Genomic DNA, 17,530 nt, shown 5'->3' on the forward strand with positions numbered 1-17,530 from the left:
ATGAAATGAATGAAATGAAACGAGAAGGGAAGTTTAGAGAAAAAAGAATAAAAAGAAATGAGCAAAGCCTCCAAGAAATATGGGACTATGTGAAAAGACCAAATCTACGTCTGATTGCTGTACCTGAAAGTGATGGGGAGAATGGAACCAAGTTGGAAAACACTCTGCAGGATATTATCCAGGAGAACTTCCCCAATCTAGCAAGGCAGGCCAACGTTCAGATTCAGGAAATACAGAGAACGCCACAAAGATACTCCTCGAGAAGAGCAACTCCAAGACACATAATTGTCAGATTCACCAAAGTTGAAATGAAGGAAAAAATGTTAAGGGCAGCCAGAGAGAAAGGTCGGGTTACCCTCAAAGGGAAGCCCATCAGACTAACAGCGGATCTCTCGGCAGAAACCCTACAAGCCAGAAGAGAGTGGGGGCCAATATTCAACATTCTTAAAGAAAAGAATTTTCAACCCAGAACTTCATATCCAGCCAAACTAAGCTTCATAAGTGAAGGAGAAATAAAATCCTTTACAGACAAGCAAATGCTGAGAGATTTTGTCACCACCAGGCCTGCCTTACAAGAGCTCCTGAAGGAAGCACTAAACATGGAAAGGAACAACCGGCACCAGCCGCTGCAAAATCATGCCAAAATGTAAAGACCATCGAGACTAGGAAGAAACTGCATCAACTAATGAGCAAAATAACCAGCTAACATCATAATGACAGGATTAAATTCACACATAACAATATTAACTTTAAATGTCAATGGACTAAATGCTCCAATTAAAAGACACAGACTGGCAAATTGGATAAAGAGTCAAGACCCATTAGTGTGCTGTATTCAGGAAACCCATCTCACGTGCGGAGACACACGTAGGCTCAAAATAAAAGGATGGAGGAAGATCTACCAAGCCAATGGAAAACAAAAAAAGGCAGGGGTTGCAAACCTAGTCTCTGATAAAACAGACTTTAAACCAACAAAGATCAAAAGAGACAAAGAAGGCCATTACATAATGGTAAAGGGATCAATTCAACAAGAGGAGCTAACTATCCTAAATATATATGCACCCAATACAGGAGCACCCAGATTCATAAAGCAAGTCCTGAGTGACCTACAAAGAGACTTAGACTCCCACACATTAATAATGGGAGACTTTAACACCCCACTGTCAACATTAGACAGATCAACGAGACAGAAAGTCAACAAGGATACCCAGGAATTGAACTCAGCTCTGCACCAGGTGGACCTAATAGACATCTACAGAACTCTCCACCCCAAATCAACAGAATATACATTTTTTTCAGCACCACACCACACCTATTCCAAAATTGACCACATAATTGGAAGTAAAGCTCTCCTCAGCAAATGTAAAAGAACAGAAATTATAACAAACTGTCTCTCAGACCACAGTGCAATCAAACTAGAACTCAGGATTAAGAATCTCACTCAAAACTGCGCAACTACATGGAAACTGAACAACCTGCTCCTGAATGACTACTGGGTACATAACAAAATGAAGGCAGAAATAAAGATGTTCTTTGAAACCAACGAGAACAAAGACACAACATACCAGAATCTCTGGGACGCATTCAAAGCAGTGTGTAGAGGGAAATTTATAGCACTAAATGCCCACAAGAGAAAGCAGGAAAGATCCAAAATTGACACCCTAACATCACAATTGAAAGAACTAGAAAAGCAAGAGCAAACACATTCAAAAGCTAGCAGAAGGCAAGAAATAACTAAAATCAGAGCAGAACTGAAGGAAATAGAGACACAAAAAACCCTTCAAAAAATTAATGAATCCAGGAGCTGGTTTTTTGAAAGGATCAACAAAATTGATAGACTGCTAGCAAGACTAATAAAGAAAAAAAGAGAGAAGAATCAATAGACGCAATAAAAAATGATAAAGGGGATATCACCACCAATCCCACAGAAATACAAACTACCATCAGGGAATACTACAAACACCTCTACGCAAATAAACTAGAAAATCTAGAAGAAATGGATAAATTCCTGGACACATGCACTCTCCCAAGACTAAACCAGGAAGAAGTTGAATCTCTGAATAGACCAATAACAGGAGCTGAAATTGTGGCAATAATCAATAGCTTACCAACCAAAAAGAGTCCAGGACCAGATGGATTCACAGCCGAATTCTACCAGAGGTACAAGGAGGAACTGATACCATTCCTTCTGAAACTATTCCAATCAATAGAAAAAGAGGGAATCCTCCCTAACTCATTTTATGAGGCCAGCATCATTCTGATACCAAAGCCGGGCAGAGACACAACCAAAAAAGAGAATTTTAGACCAATATCCTTGATGAACATTGATGCAAAAATCCTCAATAAAATACTGGCAAACCAAATCCAGCAGCACATCAAAAAGCTTATCCACCATGATCAAGTGGGCTTCATCCCTGGGATGCAAGGCTAGTTCAATATACGCAAATCAATAAATGTAATCCAGCATATAAACAGAGCCAAAGACAAAAACCACATGATTATCTCAATAGATGCAGAAAAAGCCTTTGACAAAATTCAACAACCCTTCATGCTAAAAACTCTCAATAAATTAGGTATTGATGGGACATATTTCAAAATAATAAGAGCTATCTATGACAAACCCACAGCCAATATCATACTGAATGGGCAAAAACTGGAAGCATTCCCTTTGAAAACTGGCACAAGACAGGGATGCCCTCTCTCACCACTCCTATTCAACATAGTGTTGGAAGTTCTGGCCAGGGCAATTAGGCAGGAGAAGGAAATAAAGGGTATTCAATTAGGAAAAGAGGAAGTCAAATTGTCCCTGTTTGCAGATGACATGATTGTATATCTAGAAAACCCCATTATCTCAGCCCAAAATCTCCTTAAGCTGATAAGCAACTTCAGCAAAGTCTCAGATATAAAATCAATGTACAAAAATCACAAGCATTCTTATACACCAACAACAGACAAACAGAGAGCCAAATCATGAGTGAACTCCCATTCACAATTGCTTCAAAGAGAATAAAATACCTAGGAATCCAACTTACAAGGGATGTGAAGGACCTCTTCAAGGAGAACTACAAACCACTGCTCAAGGAAATAAAAGAGGATACAAACAAATGGAAGAACATTCCATGTTCATGGGTAGGAAGAATCAATATCGTGAAAATGGCCATACTGCCCAAGGTAATTTACAGATTCAATGCCATCCCCATCAAGCTACCAATGACTTTCTTCACAGAATTGGAAAAAACTACTTTAAAGTTCATATGGAACCAAAAAAGAGCCTGCATTGCCAAGTCAATCCTAAGCCAAAAGAACAAAGCTGGAGGCATCACACTACCTGACTTCAAACTATACTACAAGGCTGCAGTAACAAAACAGCATGGTACTGGTACCAAAACAGAGATATAGATCAATGGAACAGAACAGAGCCCTCAGAAATAACGCTGCATATCTACAACTATCTGATCTTTGACAAACCTGAGAAAAACAAGCAATGGGGAAAGGATTCCCTATTTAATAAATGGTGCTGGGAAAACTGGCTAGCCATATGTAGAAAGCTGAAACTGGATCCCTTCCTTACACCTTATACAAAAATCAATTCAAGATGGATTAAAGACTTAAACGTTAGACCTAAAACCATAAAAACCGTAGAAGAAAACCTAGGCATTACCATTCAGGACATACGCATGGGCAAGGACTTCATGTCTAAAACACCAAAAGCAATGGCAACAGAAGCCAAAATTGACAAATGGGATCTAATTAAACTAAAGAGCTTCTGCACAGCAAAAGAAACTACCATCAGAGTGAACAGGTAACCTACAATATGGGAGAAAATTTTCGCAACCTACTCATCTGACAAAGGGCTAATATCTAGAATCTACAATGAACTCAAACAAATTTACAAGAAAAAAACAAACAACCCCATCAAAAAGTGGGCGAAGGACATGAACAGACACTTCTCAAAAGAAGACATTTATGCAGCCAAAAGACACATGAAAAAATGCTCATCATCACTGGCCATCAGAGATATGCAAATCAAAACCACAATGAGATACCATCTCACACCAGTTAGAATGGCGATCATTAAGAAGTCAGGAAACAACAGGTGCTGGAGAGGATGTGGAGAAATAGGAACACTTTTACACTGTTGGTGGGAATGTAAACTAGTTCAACCATTGTGGAAGTCAGTGTGGCGATTCCTCAGGGATCTAGAACTGGAAATACCATTTGACCCAGCCATCCCATTACTGGGTATATACCCAAAGGACTATAAATCATGCTGCTATAAAGACACATGCACACGTATGGTTATTGCGGCATTATTCACAATAGCAAAGACTTGGAACCAACCCAAATGTCCAACAATGATAGACTGGATTAAGAAAATGTGGCACATATACACCATGGAATACTATGCAGCCATAAAAAATGATGAGTTCATGTCCTTTGTAGGGACATGGATGAAATTGGAAATCATCATTCTCAGTAAACTATCGCAAGAACAAAAAACCAAACACCGCATATTCTCACTCATAGGTGGGAATTGAACAATGAGATCACATGGACACAGGAAGGGGAATATCACACTCTGGGGACTGTTGTGGGGTAGGGGGAGGGGGGAGGGATAACATCGGGAGATATACCTAATGCTAGATGACGAGTTAGTGGGTGCAGCGCACCAGCATGGCACATGTATACATATGTAACTAACCTGCACAATGTGCACATGTACCCTAAAACTTGAAGTATAATAAAAATAAAAAATAAAAAAAAAAAAGGAATAAGCTGCCAGCCATTTACTCCTTAAGACTCTTCAGACTTTTTCCCTGTGTTTCCAGATAATCAGAATGCTGTCATAATCACTTTGGTTCCTGGAGTAATTGCATTTAAATTTTGTCCAAGGTATCTATCAAAGGCTGATACAAGAAACAACCATATGCAGAAGATCTTTGCTATAGTTTACAAAGTCGTATTGAGGATACAGGCTATTATGTTGTTTAAATGCATCAGCATCTTCATAAAACCTAAAGGAGAAAAATATTTCTCTTGATGAACTGCTATCCTTTCTTTTAGACAAGGAGAGTATAATAAATACAAAGCTATGTGCTAAAATGCTATAACTCTCTCCAACACGTTTTATTTTGATAAAAAAATTATCTAATTTTGTACTTCCCTAGTTAGTGCCATTTGTCATATATCAGTGGTTTTTGACTCACAGTATACATTTTTCTTATCAGTCACAATTTTTAAATTGGATAATATTTAACAACATTAAGCACATATAATGATATATTGAGAAGACATAATGGTAAAATAGATCTAAAATAGGTTAGGGGATATTAATTTCTTTTCTTATTAACTTTTAAGACAGAATCTCACTCTGTTGTTCAGATTAGAGTGCAGTGGTGTAATCCTGTCTCACTGCAAACTCTGCCTCTTGGGCTCAAGCAGTCCTCTCCCCACTCAGCATCCCAAGCAGCTGAAACTACAGGCAAGTACCACCACGCTCTGCTTATTTTTGTATTTTTAGTAGAAACAGGGTTTCACCATGTTGCCCAGTCTGGTATGGAACTGCTGGGCTCAAGTAATCCACCCACTTCTGCCCCTCAAAGTTCTGGGATTATAGGCATGAGCCACCATGCCTGGCCTGAGATATTAATTTCTATTTCTCTCAACATTTAAGTGAGTAAGTGTTTACTCACTTAAAAATTCACTTTTAGATAATCTAGAAGTGCAGTAACAGTATAAAATGAAAAAGAATACAAATGAACTATTTATTTTACTATCAAAATGTCGATAATACAAAAAAAAAGAGAATAGGTTTGAGATTAAAAGTTGGAAAAAGGGAAGCCTTGGAAAATAAGTTCAGGATATTTCAAAAATTGGAAAATCTCACTCCATGAATCATTCACATAAACTACCCCCTCCACCTCCTCCATCCTCTTTCTTAAGTTTTATATTTCCATTCATCAGTTCACTACATGTCTTTCCAGTTATTCAGAGTCTGAAATTTGACATAATCTTTGATTTGTCCTACCTTTTTTTTCTTATATCAATTTATCAGAAAGTGATAGAATAGCATTTCATTGAACTGTCTTTTGTGACTATCTCTGAACAAAGTATAGGCTGCCTAACATGGAATCAAGACCTTTCGTGGCTTAAAGCAACTTTATCTCCTTAGCATTGCTCCCCACTATTAATAAAATTCTCTCTGATGAGGATTTCAATACCTTTAAAGCATATATGTAACATTATATACTAAGTAAGTTCCTGAGTCAAGCCTGCTGTTTTTATTTTATTCTATCTGTAATAACGATTTTTTACTAAGTTTTACCTGTATTTTGTGTTCAAAATTTAATTACATTATTCTCTGAATGACTGCAGAATTCATTCATTCATTCATTGTTTTTTTTTCTGCATCCCTTTGAATACACACATGACATGCAAAGGATCAGTTTAAGGTGTTGTGAAAGAGCAAAGACTTATAACATAGTCTGCACTTTTAACTAACTGGAATCCCACATTTAATTTTTATATAAATGAATTTTCTCCACAATGAGATTATAGCAATTTAGAAGCAGTGGTCATATTTGGCACTTCTATTCCTCACAGTTTTTGGCAGAAATATTCATTTGATTGAATTTCTTAAATTAAAAAAAACTTGGAAAAATATAATGTTAATTTTATCTCTACAAAGTTTCTGGAAAAAGAAAGTCTATAAAATAACTAGCATTATAACCAGAAAGTAGAGTTATTTCTAAGCTAAAATTGCTAATTTAAAATACAAGAAAAATAGTCTCTTTTTATAGGTATTACCTTATGAAGCATAATCCTCTCTTAAGAGAATGGCAATAGTGGGCAGCATAAGATAGCTGTGATTTTTAAAAGTGCTTATTAAAACATTTGTTTAAATCTATTATAACCAGAGGAAATTAGTTCAGCTCCCAGGGCAATTCCCATTCCAAAAGCAAGGGGTCTATTTTAATCATCTCTTAAACCTTTAGAAAGAACTGTACTAATTCTCCATTGAAAACTGGACAATTATTCGACTGGGACCATTGTTGAGCGTGAGATGCTTTGTGAAACCTGTTACTCTCTCCTCTGTATGGTTCCAGAAAAGCAAAGCCACTGTTGATTGAAGTGATAAAGCTAATGACCTATTTACAGAATGTAAAATAGTAACTAATTTATGATCATATAATCCTAGGTTTAAAAGATTTCATGTTGGATTAATAAGCACTTTCATCCCCCAGACAGTCCAAGATAAGATCTGTTTTACTTTCAAGGTCTCTCAAAAGAAGGGATTTTCAAAGTGCTATCTTCAGTTATTCCTGTGCTTAAAAACTCTCACAGCTTGAAAATCTACACTAATAACAGTCCAGGTTTATTATACTTTTTAAAAAATCATTACAAAACAAAGAATTGGCCACCTTTTCTATAAGGTCTCTTCATATACAGTACATGAAGAAGAATAATTATCTCACTATGTCTTCTTTTTCAAATGCAAGTATTCTATTTCCTTAATTTTTTTTCAGAGACATGATTACTGAAAATTCTTCATCATAATTTTTATTTCTCCTTGCACCTTTCCCACATATTCCAGATTCTTCATTAGCTGACTCAACCACAAACATTCAGAGTAATCAAGAAGCGCGTGACCAAAGCAAGATAACATTTCTTCTTGACTTTTAAAAATCGTTCCTGGATTTTACTAATCTAAGCTCTAATAACTCCTACATGATACCCAACTTGGGTTTCTCAGACCTGTAGAGAGTGAATGTAGCAAAGAGGAAACAGACTTGTTGTGAAATCCTAATGATCTGTACAACAAACCCCCGGGACAAGAGTTTACCTATGTGACAAACCTTCACACATACCCCTGAACCTAAAATAAAAGTAAAAAAAAAAAAAAAAAAAAAAAAGAAAATGTAAATTCACCACTGATAGAACTGCACAGGTCATATGCAACACCAGATCTCTTTGCCATTGTTCACACTTAGGAGCTGATATATGGAAACATTCAACAGAAGTTTCCTATTAATGTAAAATTTTTAAGTTTTAATGTTGTTGTTATTTGAAAATTTTAAAAAACCCATTGGAATTGGAGATACACACACACACACACACACACACACACACACACAGGTAGCTAAATGATTACTTATTTAACAAATTGAGAATTGATTCTTATTGAATGAGGTTTTTTTAGGGGAAAAACTCGATTATTTCCTTGGGGAAAAATAATCATGTAAATGGATAGAATTTGAAACAAAATGAAACCACTGGGGCACCCTTTAAGATAATTATTTTTTGTAAATCTCTTATATAATCTTTATTTCTGCTTCACAATATATGTTAAAATTTGTCTTTCTAAAGTTTCCCCTTTTTATGTGATTCTTCGCCAATTTCAAGATTTTTTTGAACTAATTTATGCCCTTAGAATTACTGGAAAAATTTCTAAAATCTATTCTAACTCTTAAGTGTGTTCTTTATGTTACCATACTCAGCACTTAAGTTGTTCAAAATACTGGGGTAATAAAAATACTCTGATGAAGGGCACTTGTAATGACTATTATGCCACTAAATTCAGAAATTTAGATCCTTTTTTTCATCTAGTCGATCCCTCCATTCATTTACTATGAGGCGATACAATCATATTTTTTTTCTCTTGTGAAAAAAAGTCTGCTTCAATGAAAAGCCAAAAAAAAAAAAGCTGCAAGTGTCAAAATAAATTACCTGTATTACATTCTCTTAACCTACTGTGTCTGTCATAGGAAACTACTTATGGGCAAAGGGACTATTTTATCTCAATATCAGAAAGCAGTTTGTAAAGGAGGGGAAAATCCATTTGCTTTATATTGCGTTTCAGAAACTGACATAGCAAAATTTCAACTTTGAGATACTGAGAAGGGTCATAAATTTGAAGGTTCAGGAAACATTCAATTTAATGTCGTTCTTGATTTTCTACACAATAGCCTTTGGTTGCTCTGGGTCATGTGAAATAAATAAGTGTTATATTCTAATCCATCTAAATCATATAGAGCAAAATAAATGTTATATCCTAATATATCAAACTCATATAGTGCATATCTCATCATGATGAATATGATAATCCTTGAATGTATAATCCAAGTATTAGTAACAAGATAAAATTACTCTGTATCCTAAAGATGGTCCATATTTAGCTACCTTCATAAAGCCAGTTTCCACAGGTAAAATCAAATGTATTTGTTCACTGAAACGGAGGTACTATAATTACCTATATATTTGCCAAGGTCAAGCCAGCATTACTGATAGCACTGCCCTTTTACCAAATAATAAGATTCTTATCACAAGTCGTTAAAATATTGCCCAGTAGATACAAGGAAACAGAGTTAATCTAAGAAAGAAATGCCTTTTCATTATTCATTGAGACCAAATAAAATTAAGGTAAAACAAAGTTTGAAAAAAATAAAATCAATTAAGCCTTCCATTAAAACAAAATTAAACTCTAATTCCAAATGAGAAAAGGGATTTTCTGCCATGGAAAGTCTTCTTTATTTAAAGAATAAAGATAAAAATAGATGAACTTACAAAATACAGCAGTCTTGTTTAATCACAGCAGGACAGTTGAGTATATTCTCTCAGAGTTCTTTTGGGGTACATTTCCTGAAACGAAAATTAAATTAATGTTAAGGCCAAGCTTAAAAATGACCATAAGGAAACTATGGTTTGTATAATGGAAAGACCACACAAATGTTGTAGAAATTTTGGGCCTATGTAAGTAGTCTTTAAAATATAATACTGTTCTTAATTTCATTTCTGCCAATATTCAGATCATGTGAAATAATTTATATAAATTTCTGTATGGTTGCAAAATATCTACATATTTCATAATAAGAAATAAACTGAAGTTTTATTTTCTAATAGAGAATTTCAAAATAATCTCTTCTGGCATAAGATAAGAAGGGTTATTTGAGCCATTTATGTACTGCCAAACAATGTAAGACACTCAGGAACCTCTCCAAAGACAGAGGCAAAATTTTAAAAGTCAAACTAGAATATCTGGTTTCAATTTGATCTAGTTGTTTGATAAAAATACAGTCTGAATTTGCCTCAAAGTTTTGAACATAATGAGGATGAGTAAAAGGATGCGGTGATTGAAGGATAAGCAACAGCTTCACTTTTGGATCCTTATGTAATCTAAGCAGCACATCAGGAGGAAATATCCACAAGCCATGTACTTCACTACCTCTATTATCCCTTTGTATAAAACAACACCAACTATTTTATCTCTTGTTTTAGGATCCACTCAATAGAAGACATACATGGCTACAATACTAAATTGCCTTTGTTTAGTTGAAAGGGCTAAGGATACAATTGTGTGTATAATGAGCTGGCATCCATATCTTATAATCTCTCCATATTCTTTTTCTGCATGTAGAATGATCACAAGAAAGTATCTTAACAAACTAAAGTAATAGGGGATATTATTGATCATTTTTTCAAAGAATGTATACAGTAGCACTGTAGTTGCAGAGAAAACATGACATTTTCATATCAGAGTTGTATCTGTTTATGAAGTCAATGTACATAGAGCTAAAGCAGAAATTGTATAATAGTTATATAAAATGAGTTTGCTTATAGAATTAATAAGTTGACATATAAAAGTCAACCGCTGACACTGGGAACACATTGTAACCACATAAGGTGAGAAAACTAAATTCACACTATATACAACAAATGAAAAATCAGATCAGTTAGAGAAACAACAAAAACAACAACAAAATATTTCTACAAGAAAAGAATATATTGCATAGAACCATGAAAATTTCCATTAATTTTTAAATGTTTATCAACACAATTTTTAAAATAGGTCATTGTTATTATTTCCACTTTCGCTGTTTTTTAATAAATTATGTATTACAATTTTTAAATAAATTATGTATTTTCAAATTCTGAAAATAAGATATTACCAATCAAATACCCATTAAAAAATTGCAAATAAATTTGACAAATTAAAGAATGATATCTTTCCTTGGCTCAGGATAGTGAGGACACTGTCTTCCAGCTTTAACTGTGGCTACCTGCAGTTTTGCTTATTTAAGTTGAATAACTTGGAACATTCTCTATTTCAATGGACTTTATTTTCACATATTATGTAGTTTAATGAAATTGGTATATTAAAATCCAAGTTCCAAATACAAGGTATTATGAAATATCATTGGGTGCATTAGCATAATGAAAACAAACAGGAACAAGAAACTCCAAACATATGTTGTTATTGGTTGGATGAAAGAGATTAGGATTATGTATTCTACTGCTTCATGATTTTAGGTTCCCCACATGGCCTTTTGAAAGCTTAATAGTTTGATGCTTTCTCTCTATATACATACCTTTCTAACATTTACATCCTTTTGTGTCATATGGCATGAAAGACAATACAGAAAGGGAGAAAGAAAGGAAAAGAGAGAGGGAGGGAAAGATAAAGAAAAAGAGGAAAGAAAGATGCATATTTATGTATCTGGGGAAAGGAGGGAGCTCTAAACTGTGGTCAGCACCGGCGTTCTTACATATTTGGGCATTTGGTGAGGTGGGTGCCAAAAATCTCTTTGTATGAATGACTTAGGTGAATCGTGAGAAAAATCTAATAAATAATTGTATAGGTACGTCTATCTGATAAATAAATTATTCAGGGAGGGGTAGGGGGGATGTCAAAATTTAAGCAACAGATGGTGCATAACCATTAGACATGAGATTTATCTTTCAACACAATCTCCCTTGACTCATTGCATATTATTTTGGAAAGAACAAGGATGTAAGTAAAAAGTGAAATACTGGACTGCTTTGGTTATTCAAATTGAGCACAACACTTCTCAGGGTGACCCACTCATTTTAAACATCATTTTAATTTTTATATAAAACGATAACTGTTTAACCCCAAAATAGGAGACTTGCATATTTATTAAAGCAAACTTCCAGTAGAGGGGATAAAGGATTCCATTATAATAGGGTCAAAAAACATCATTCCACTGGGACTTATAAAGGAGGGACAAGTTGGTAAACTAAAGATTTGTGAATCGAAAATCAGTGTCGATTTAATAACATATATGATAACCTGTGCTTCTGAACAAGTAGCTGAGCTTCAAAACATACGTTTATCTACCTATCAGTCGATTTATCTATCCATATATCAATAAATGAAATGATTAACCAATCAACTAATCTATTGTTATATGTATGTATACATATATGTATATTCATAAAAATAAAAACATATCTCATTGACTTAATGCACTGGTTATATTTAATATATTTTTATTGCCATTCACATTATTTTCTTATTGTTTATTGTAACATTAAGGTTTTTCTGAGTTCCCTGTTTAAGTAAAAGATGCTTCCAGTATGATATGAATTACATAAACACAATTAGCATTTACCCATTAATAATTCAAAAATAAGTATTAATGAAGGCTTAACGATTTTTATATAATGACCCATTCTTTAAATGACAGGAATTGTTAATATTTAGTGCAGAAATTTAATCAGTATAAAATTAAATGCTGTGTTAAAATTTGCTTTTTCCCAGTATATAAGTATTATATTATATTATGTTATATTTTGCTATTTTTCCTAAGTACAATAAATGCAATAAGATTTACAATGAAATAATCAGAAGATAACTATTGAAACAGCTTATTTTATTACGATAAATAGTATTGAGACAAGAAAAAAATGGGAAACTACACACACACAATACAATGTTTGGAACATTGCAAAAATTTTGGAGAATTCAGAGTGAATTACCAAAAAAAAAAAAGGCAGAGGAAAACACTTCAGAGCTATTAATTTTAGCAGAATATAGTACAAATCGTCACTGATGGAATGGCACATGAAATTATCTCCCACTTCCATGTCAATGACTACTGACCTTCAAGAAAATCTAGCAGACAAAACAAGTTCTGAAGAATCATCAAATGAAATGTGTTCCCTTACAATCTCAGAAGGTGGACGTATTTTTAAATATTCAGCAATGAGCCACTCTGCTGAAAATTTTGCATCTTATATAAGAAAGTTTAAATTTACAAAAGACAGACAAGGAAGGAAGTTTGAGGGTGGTTATTTTATTCTGATATTTTTCAGATGAAAAAACTCATATGTTCTCCGCATACAAAGGGTCTTATATTTGTTTTCAATTTCTTCAGGGATAAAAAACATAAACCATTACTTAAGAATGAGCAATAATCAGTCATGAGCAATGAGGAAACGTGAATAAAATAAACTGGACAGCAATCACAGTGTTAGATATTTATAATTAAAGTCTGATTTGGAAAAACCAGTAACTACTTTTGTTGAAGAATAGAGACTAAATGAAGATATGGCATGTTGTTGTTGAACACATAATATACATAATTTTGATTTTGGCAAGGCAAATGTGTTCAGAAGATCATCCAAGAAAGTTTATGAGAGCGATAATGGAAATTTTCTGCATTTGGCAGAGACCATAGTAAAACTTGATAATATTGTGAAAGAATATTTATTCAGACTACAAACATTGGCATCAAGTAATGTGACACATCATTTAAGAAACTATATACAAAACTGAAGAGACATTGCAGAAATGAGTCAAGTCATTTTGAATAAAAGAAATGCTAAATGTTATTCAAATTATTTTGGATACAGCTTATGGTGTAAGTTTGGTATAACAAATTATAAATATTATGAATCTGATAATTCAAATGTTTCAATACCTTAAAATAAATATTTCTGAGAAAATTTTCCAGGAGATGAAACAATAAGATACAATTTTGATGGATTCTTAAAATTCAAAATCTAGAAAGAAAATAATTCAAAGATTTGGAAGATGTCATAGTTCCCACAGATATACACAGAAAGCAACACATTTCAGTAGAAGGTACATAAAAGACAATTCTAAGGAATTCCAAATTTTAAAATTTGCTCTCCTATCTCTAATTATGAATACTTTAGAATAGAGAAAAACTTTCTTTGGCTATCATTGATCTTTTTTTGTAAGGTTTAAAATCTAAATAACTTATCTTTACTTCATCAAACTTTAGATGATATTGATAATTTATCAACCATAAACATGAAATAAAGCATTATCAATAGTTAATGGGAAAGTTAAATTAAGGCCTTCATATCACTAAAATCTCAAAACTGTCATGCAAAACATTTACAGATTTCTTAATAGTAACATATCATCATAATAAATATATAAATTCTAGAATGCTAGAAAATAGCATACTTTCCAAAATATCTGCTTTTAAATTTATTTCCTAACTATGCATGCTGTACTAAATAAAATTAACATTTTAGGGCAGGAGTCTGCAAACTTTTTTCATAAAGGGCAAATAACTAACTATCTTAGGATTTGCAGGCCACTCCATTGCACTGAATATTCTTCTTCATTTGCATGTATTTATGTGCACAAGTGTGTGCTTGTGTGTGTGTTTACAATCCTTTAAAAACAGAAAAAGCATTGTTAGCTCAAGGGCCATACAAAAGCAGGCCACAGTCTCTAGTTTCTGTTCCAAGAGTTTTGTTGTCTAATACAGTAGCCACTAGCCACGTGTAAATTTAAATTTAAGTAGTTAAAATTAAATCAAATTTTAAATTCTCAGCTTCTTAATAATTACAATTACTCAGTCACATGTTGCTAGTAACTATCATCCTGAACACCATACATAGAAAGCATTTCCAGAAAGTGCTATCAGACAACACTGTTGTAGAGAAAAAAATACACAAGAAACAAATGTGTGTGTGTGTATGCATACCATTTAAATTAGGAAAAATAAAAGAATGGCTAGATCTCTTAACATTGATGCTAACTTATCCCAAGTAGAAAATTCCAAAACTAAGAAGACATAATTGACTATGAATTCTATTGTTAGCCCATCTTTTATACAAAGTTAAAATCCACATAAATATGCCAAATCAATGTCTCTTTTAAATAATAGAATAGGCTGGGCGTGCTGACTCACGCCTGTAATGCCAGCACTTTGGGAGGCCAAGGCGGGTAGATCATTTGAGGTCAGGAGTTTGAAACCAGCCTGGCCAACATGGTGAAACCTCGTCTCTACTAAAAATACAAAAATTAGCCAGACGTGGTTGTGCATGCCTGTAATCCCAGCTACTTGGGAGGCTGAGACAGGAGAATCGCTTGAAGCTGGATGGCAGAGGTTGCGGTGAGCCGAGATCGCACCACTGCATTCCAGCCTGGGTGATAGAGTGATATGCAGTCTCAAAAAAATAAAAAATAAATAAATAAATAAACAATAGAATAATTTCTGCTTGAATATAAATTTTTGTAATAACAAAAGATAACTTTCTTCTTATTTTAGGTCAAGGCTTATCCCTTTTTAATGGAAATACAAGTTACCTAGGAACATTTTAAAAGGTGGATTTGGCTTCATTAGATCTGAATTGGGCTGTAAATTCTGCATTTCTAGTAAGTACTTAAACCTGAATCTCTTTCCAATGAATAAAGATCAATAAGAATATAAAATACAACTACCCATATTCCATAGCACAATTGTGAGATAATTATAAAACATTCAATAACATGTAATGAACATGTAAATAAACACTTAAAATCAACACTGAAGCTGGGCACGGTGGCTCACATCTGTAATCCCAGCACTTTGGGAGGCCAAGGCAGGCAGATCACTTGAGGTCAGGAGTTCAAGACTAGCCTGGCCAATGTGGAGAAACTCCATCTCTCCTAAAAATACAAAAATTAGGTGGGCATGATGGTGGGCACCTGTAATCTCAGCTACTCAGGAGGCTGAGGCCGGAGAATTACCTCAACCTGGGAGGTGGAGGTTGCAGTGAGCCGAGATCCACCACTGCACTCCAGCCTGGGTGACAGAGCAAGACTCCATCTCAAAACAACAACAAAAATCAGCACTGATAGTTATAAATCTATTCAGAGGTAAATTAAAAAACACATGAGTGAGATCAGTGAAGTGATTTTTATTAATGATAGAATACAGATAACATCAATTAGTGCTCATAATTGTAAGTATAGAAAAAGAAAGTTTAAGCAAAGAGATAAAAAGGAACAAACAACCCAAAATGCATATAATTGAAGTCACTCAAAAAGTCACTAACAAAAAAACATAAAATGGAAAAGACATAATATTTTAAATAAATACTTCAGTCAAATATTCCAGAAACTAAAAACAAATATTTTTATATGGAAAACATTAACTTGTACTTTGGAAAACAGTAAACCCCAAGACAGAACTTAATATTCTATTAAAACTATTAGATTTTGGGGATTACAAAAAATCTTATGGGCATACAGCAAAAAGAAATTATTAACAAAAAAATTAAAACTGACCACAGATTTCCTAATAGAAACATACAAAGTTAAAAGAAAGTGGAAAAAGATATAAATATATATTTATAAAGATATTATTTGTATAAACATATAAATAAACTGCAAAGTTTGATAAATATCAAAAGAAATACAAAATAGAACAAGGAGAAAATCTAATATAGAAAACAGTAATATATAATATAATACACCCATTTAAGCTTATAAGACAAAGCTCAGACCAAATATATGATATCAGTCAGATAAATGTCCAGTTTAATATATCTTTTTTCACAAAATAAAATTCAATTCTGTTCTCAATACAGGAGCCATAGCTAAACAATATTGATTAAGAAAAGCAAAATATAAATATGTGTGAAGGTATTACAGTAAATGCAAATCAAATTAAATGCTAAACAAACATAGTAGCTTTCAATTCTGAAATAAGAAAGTAAAATTCAGGTCCAAAAACACTAAAACAGGTAACAACAATTTATAAAGCTGAAAGAAAAAGTCACAATAAAGATATAAGAGTTATAAGTATCCAAATAATATAACACCACAACTACCATTAAAAATTACAAACTCAAGTAGATATGAGAATAAATTGAATGAAAAAAATATAATACGGGACTCTCCCACCAAGAAACAAGTGGGAAAAATTTATTAAAATATATAAGGATAAAGATAACCTAAACAACATAATACATTAAGGGTTTTTGCATACCAAAAATGGAAGGCACATCTTCTTCAAATAAGTGAGAATTGACTACACATTAGACCCTAAAAAACCCTTAGTAAATATCCTAAAGTATGAATGAAACACAGTATTCCCCAGTCACAATGCAATAAAACTAAAACTTAATACAAAGCTTATTAAAGTTTCTTTCTTCCTCAAATTTTAAAAATTTCTTTTGTACAATTCTAGATTTGAAGGGATAATTAAAATCAAAATTAAAATATCTCAAAAAATAATGATAATGAAAACTTAGACTGTCAGAATCTATAGGATTATATAGTATAAGCAATAATCAAAAGAAATACAAATAATAAATACAAATAAAGAAATACAAATAATAAATACAAAGGTCAATATAAATGAAAAAAATAAAAATAAATGAGTCAAATATTAAATCAAAAAGCTAGGAGATAAAGTAAACCAAAAGAAAGCAAAAGAAATAAAAAGTAAAGATAACACAAAAATTGAGGTTAAAAATTTTA

The 17,530-nt window shown here is 33.1% G+C and overlaps 1 protein-coding gene across 5 annotated transcripts in view; it reads right to left on the minus strand.

Annotated features, from left to right (window-relative positions):
- The window catches only part of MARCHF1 (membrane associated ring-CH-type finger 1), an 859,722-nt gene that overhangs the window by 577,726 nt on the left and 264,466 nt on the right, over positions 1–17,530 (minus strand). For all 5 annotated transcript variants that reach the window (XM_017008336.2, XM_017008335.2, NM_001166373.2 and 2 more), the window contains exon 2: positions 9,565–9,639. The gene's annotated coding sequence lies outside the window, so the exon portion shown is untranslated. The remainder of the gene's footprint in view (positions 1–9,564; positions 9,640–17,530) is intronic.

This window comes from Homo sapiens, chromosome 4 (genome assembly GCF_000001405.40).
Source record: "Homo sapiens chromosome 4, GRCh38.p14 Primary Assembly".
Taxonomy (NCBI): domain Eukaryota; kingdom Metazoa; phylum Chordata; class Mammalia; order Primates; family Hominidae; genus Homo; species Homo sapiens.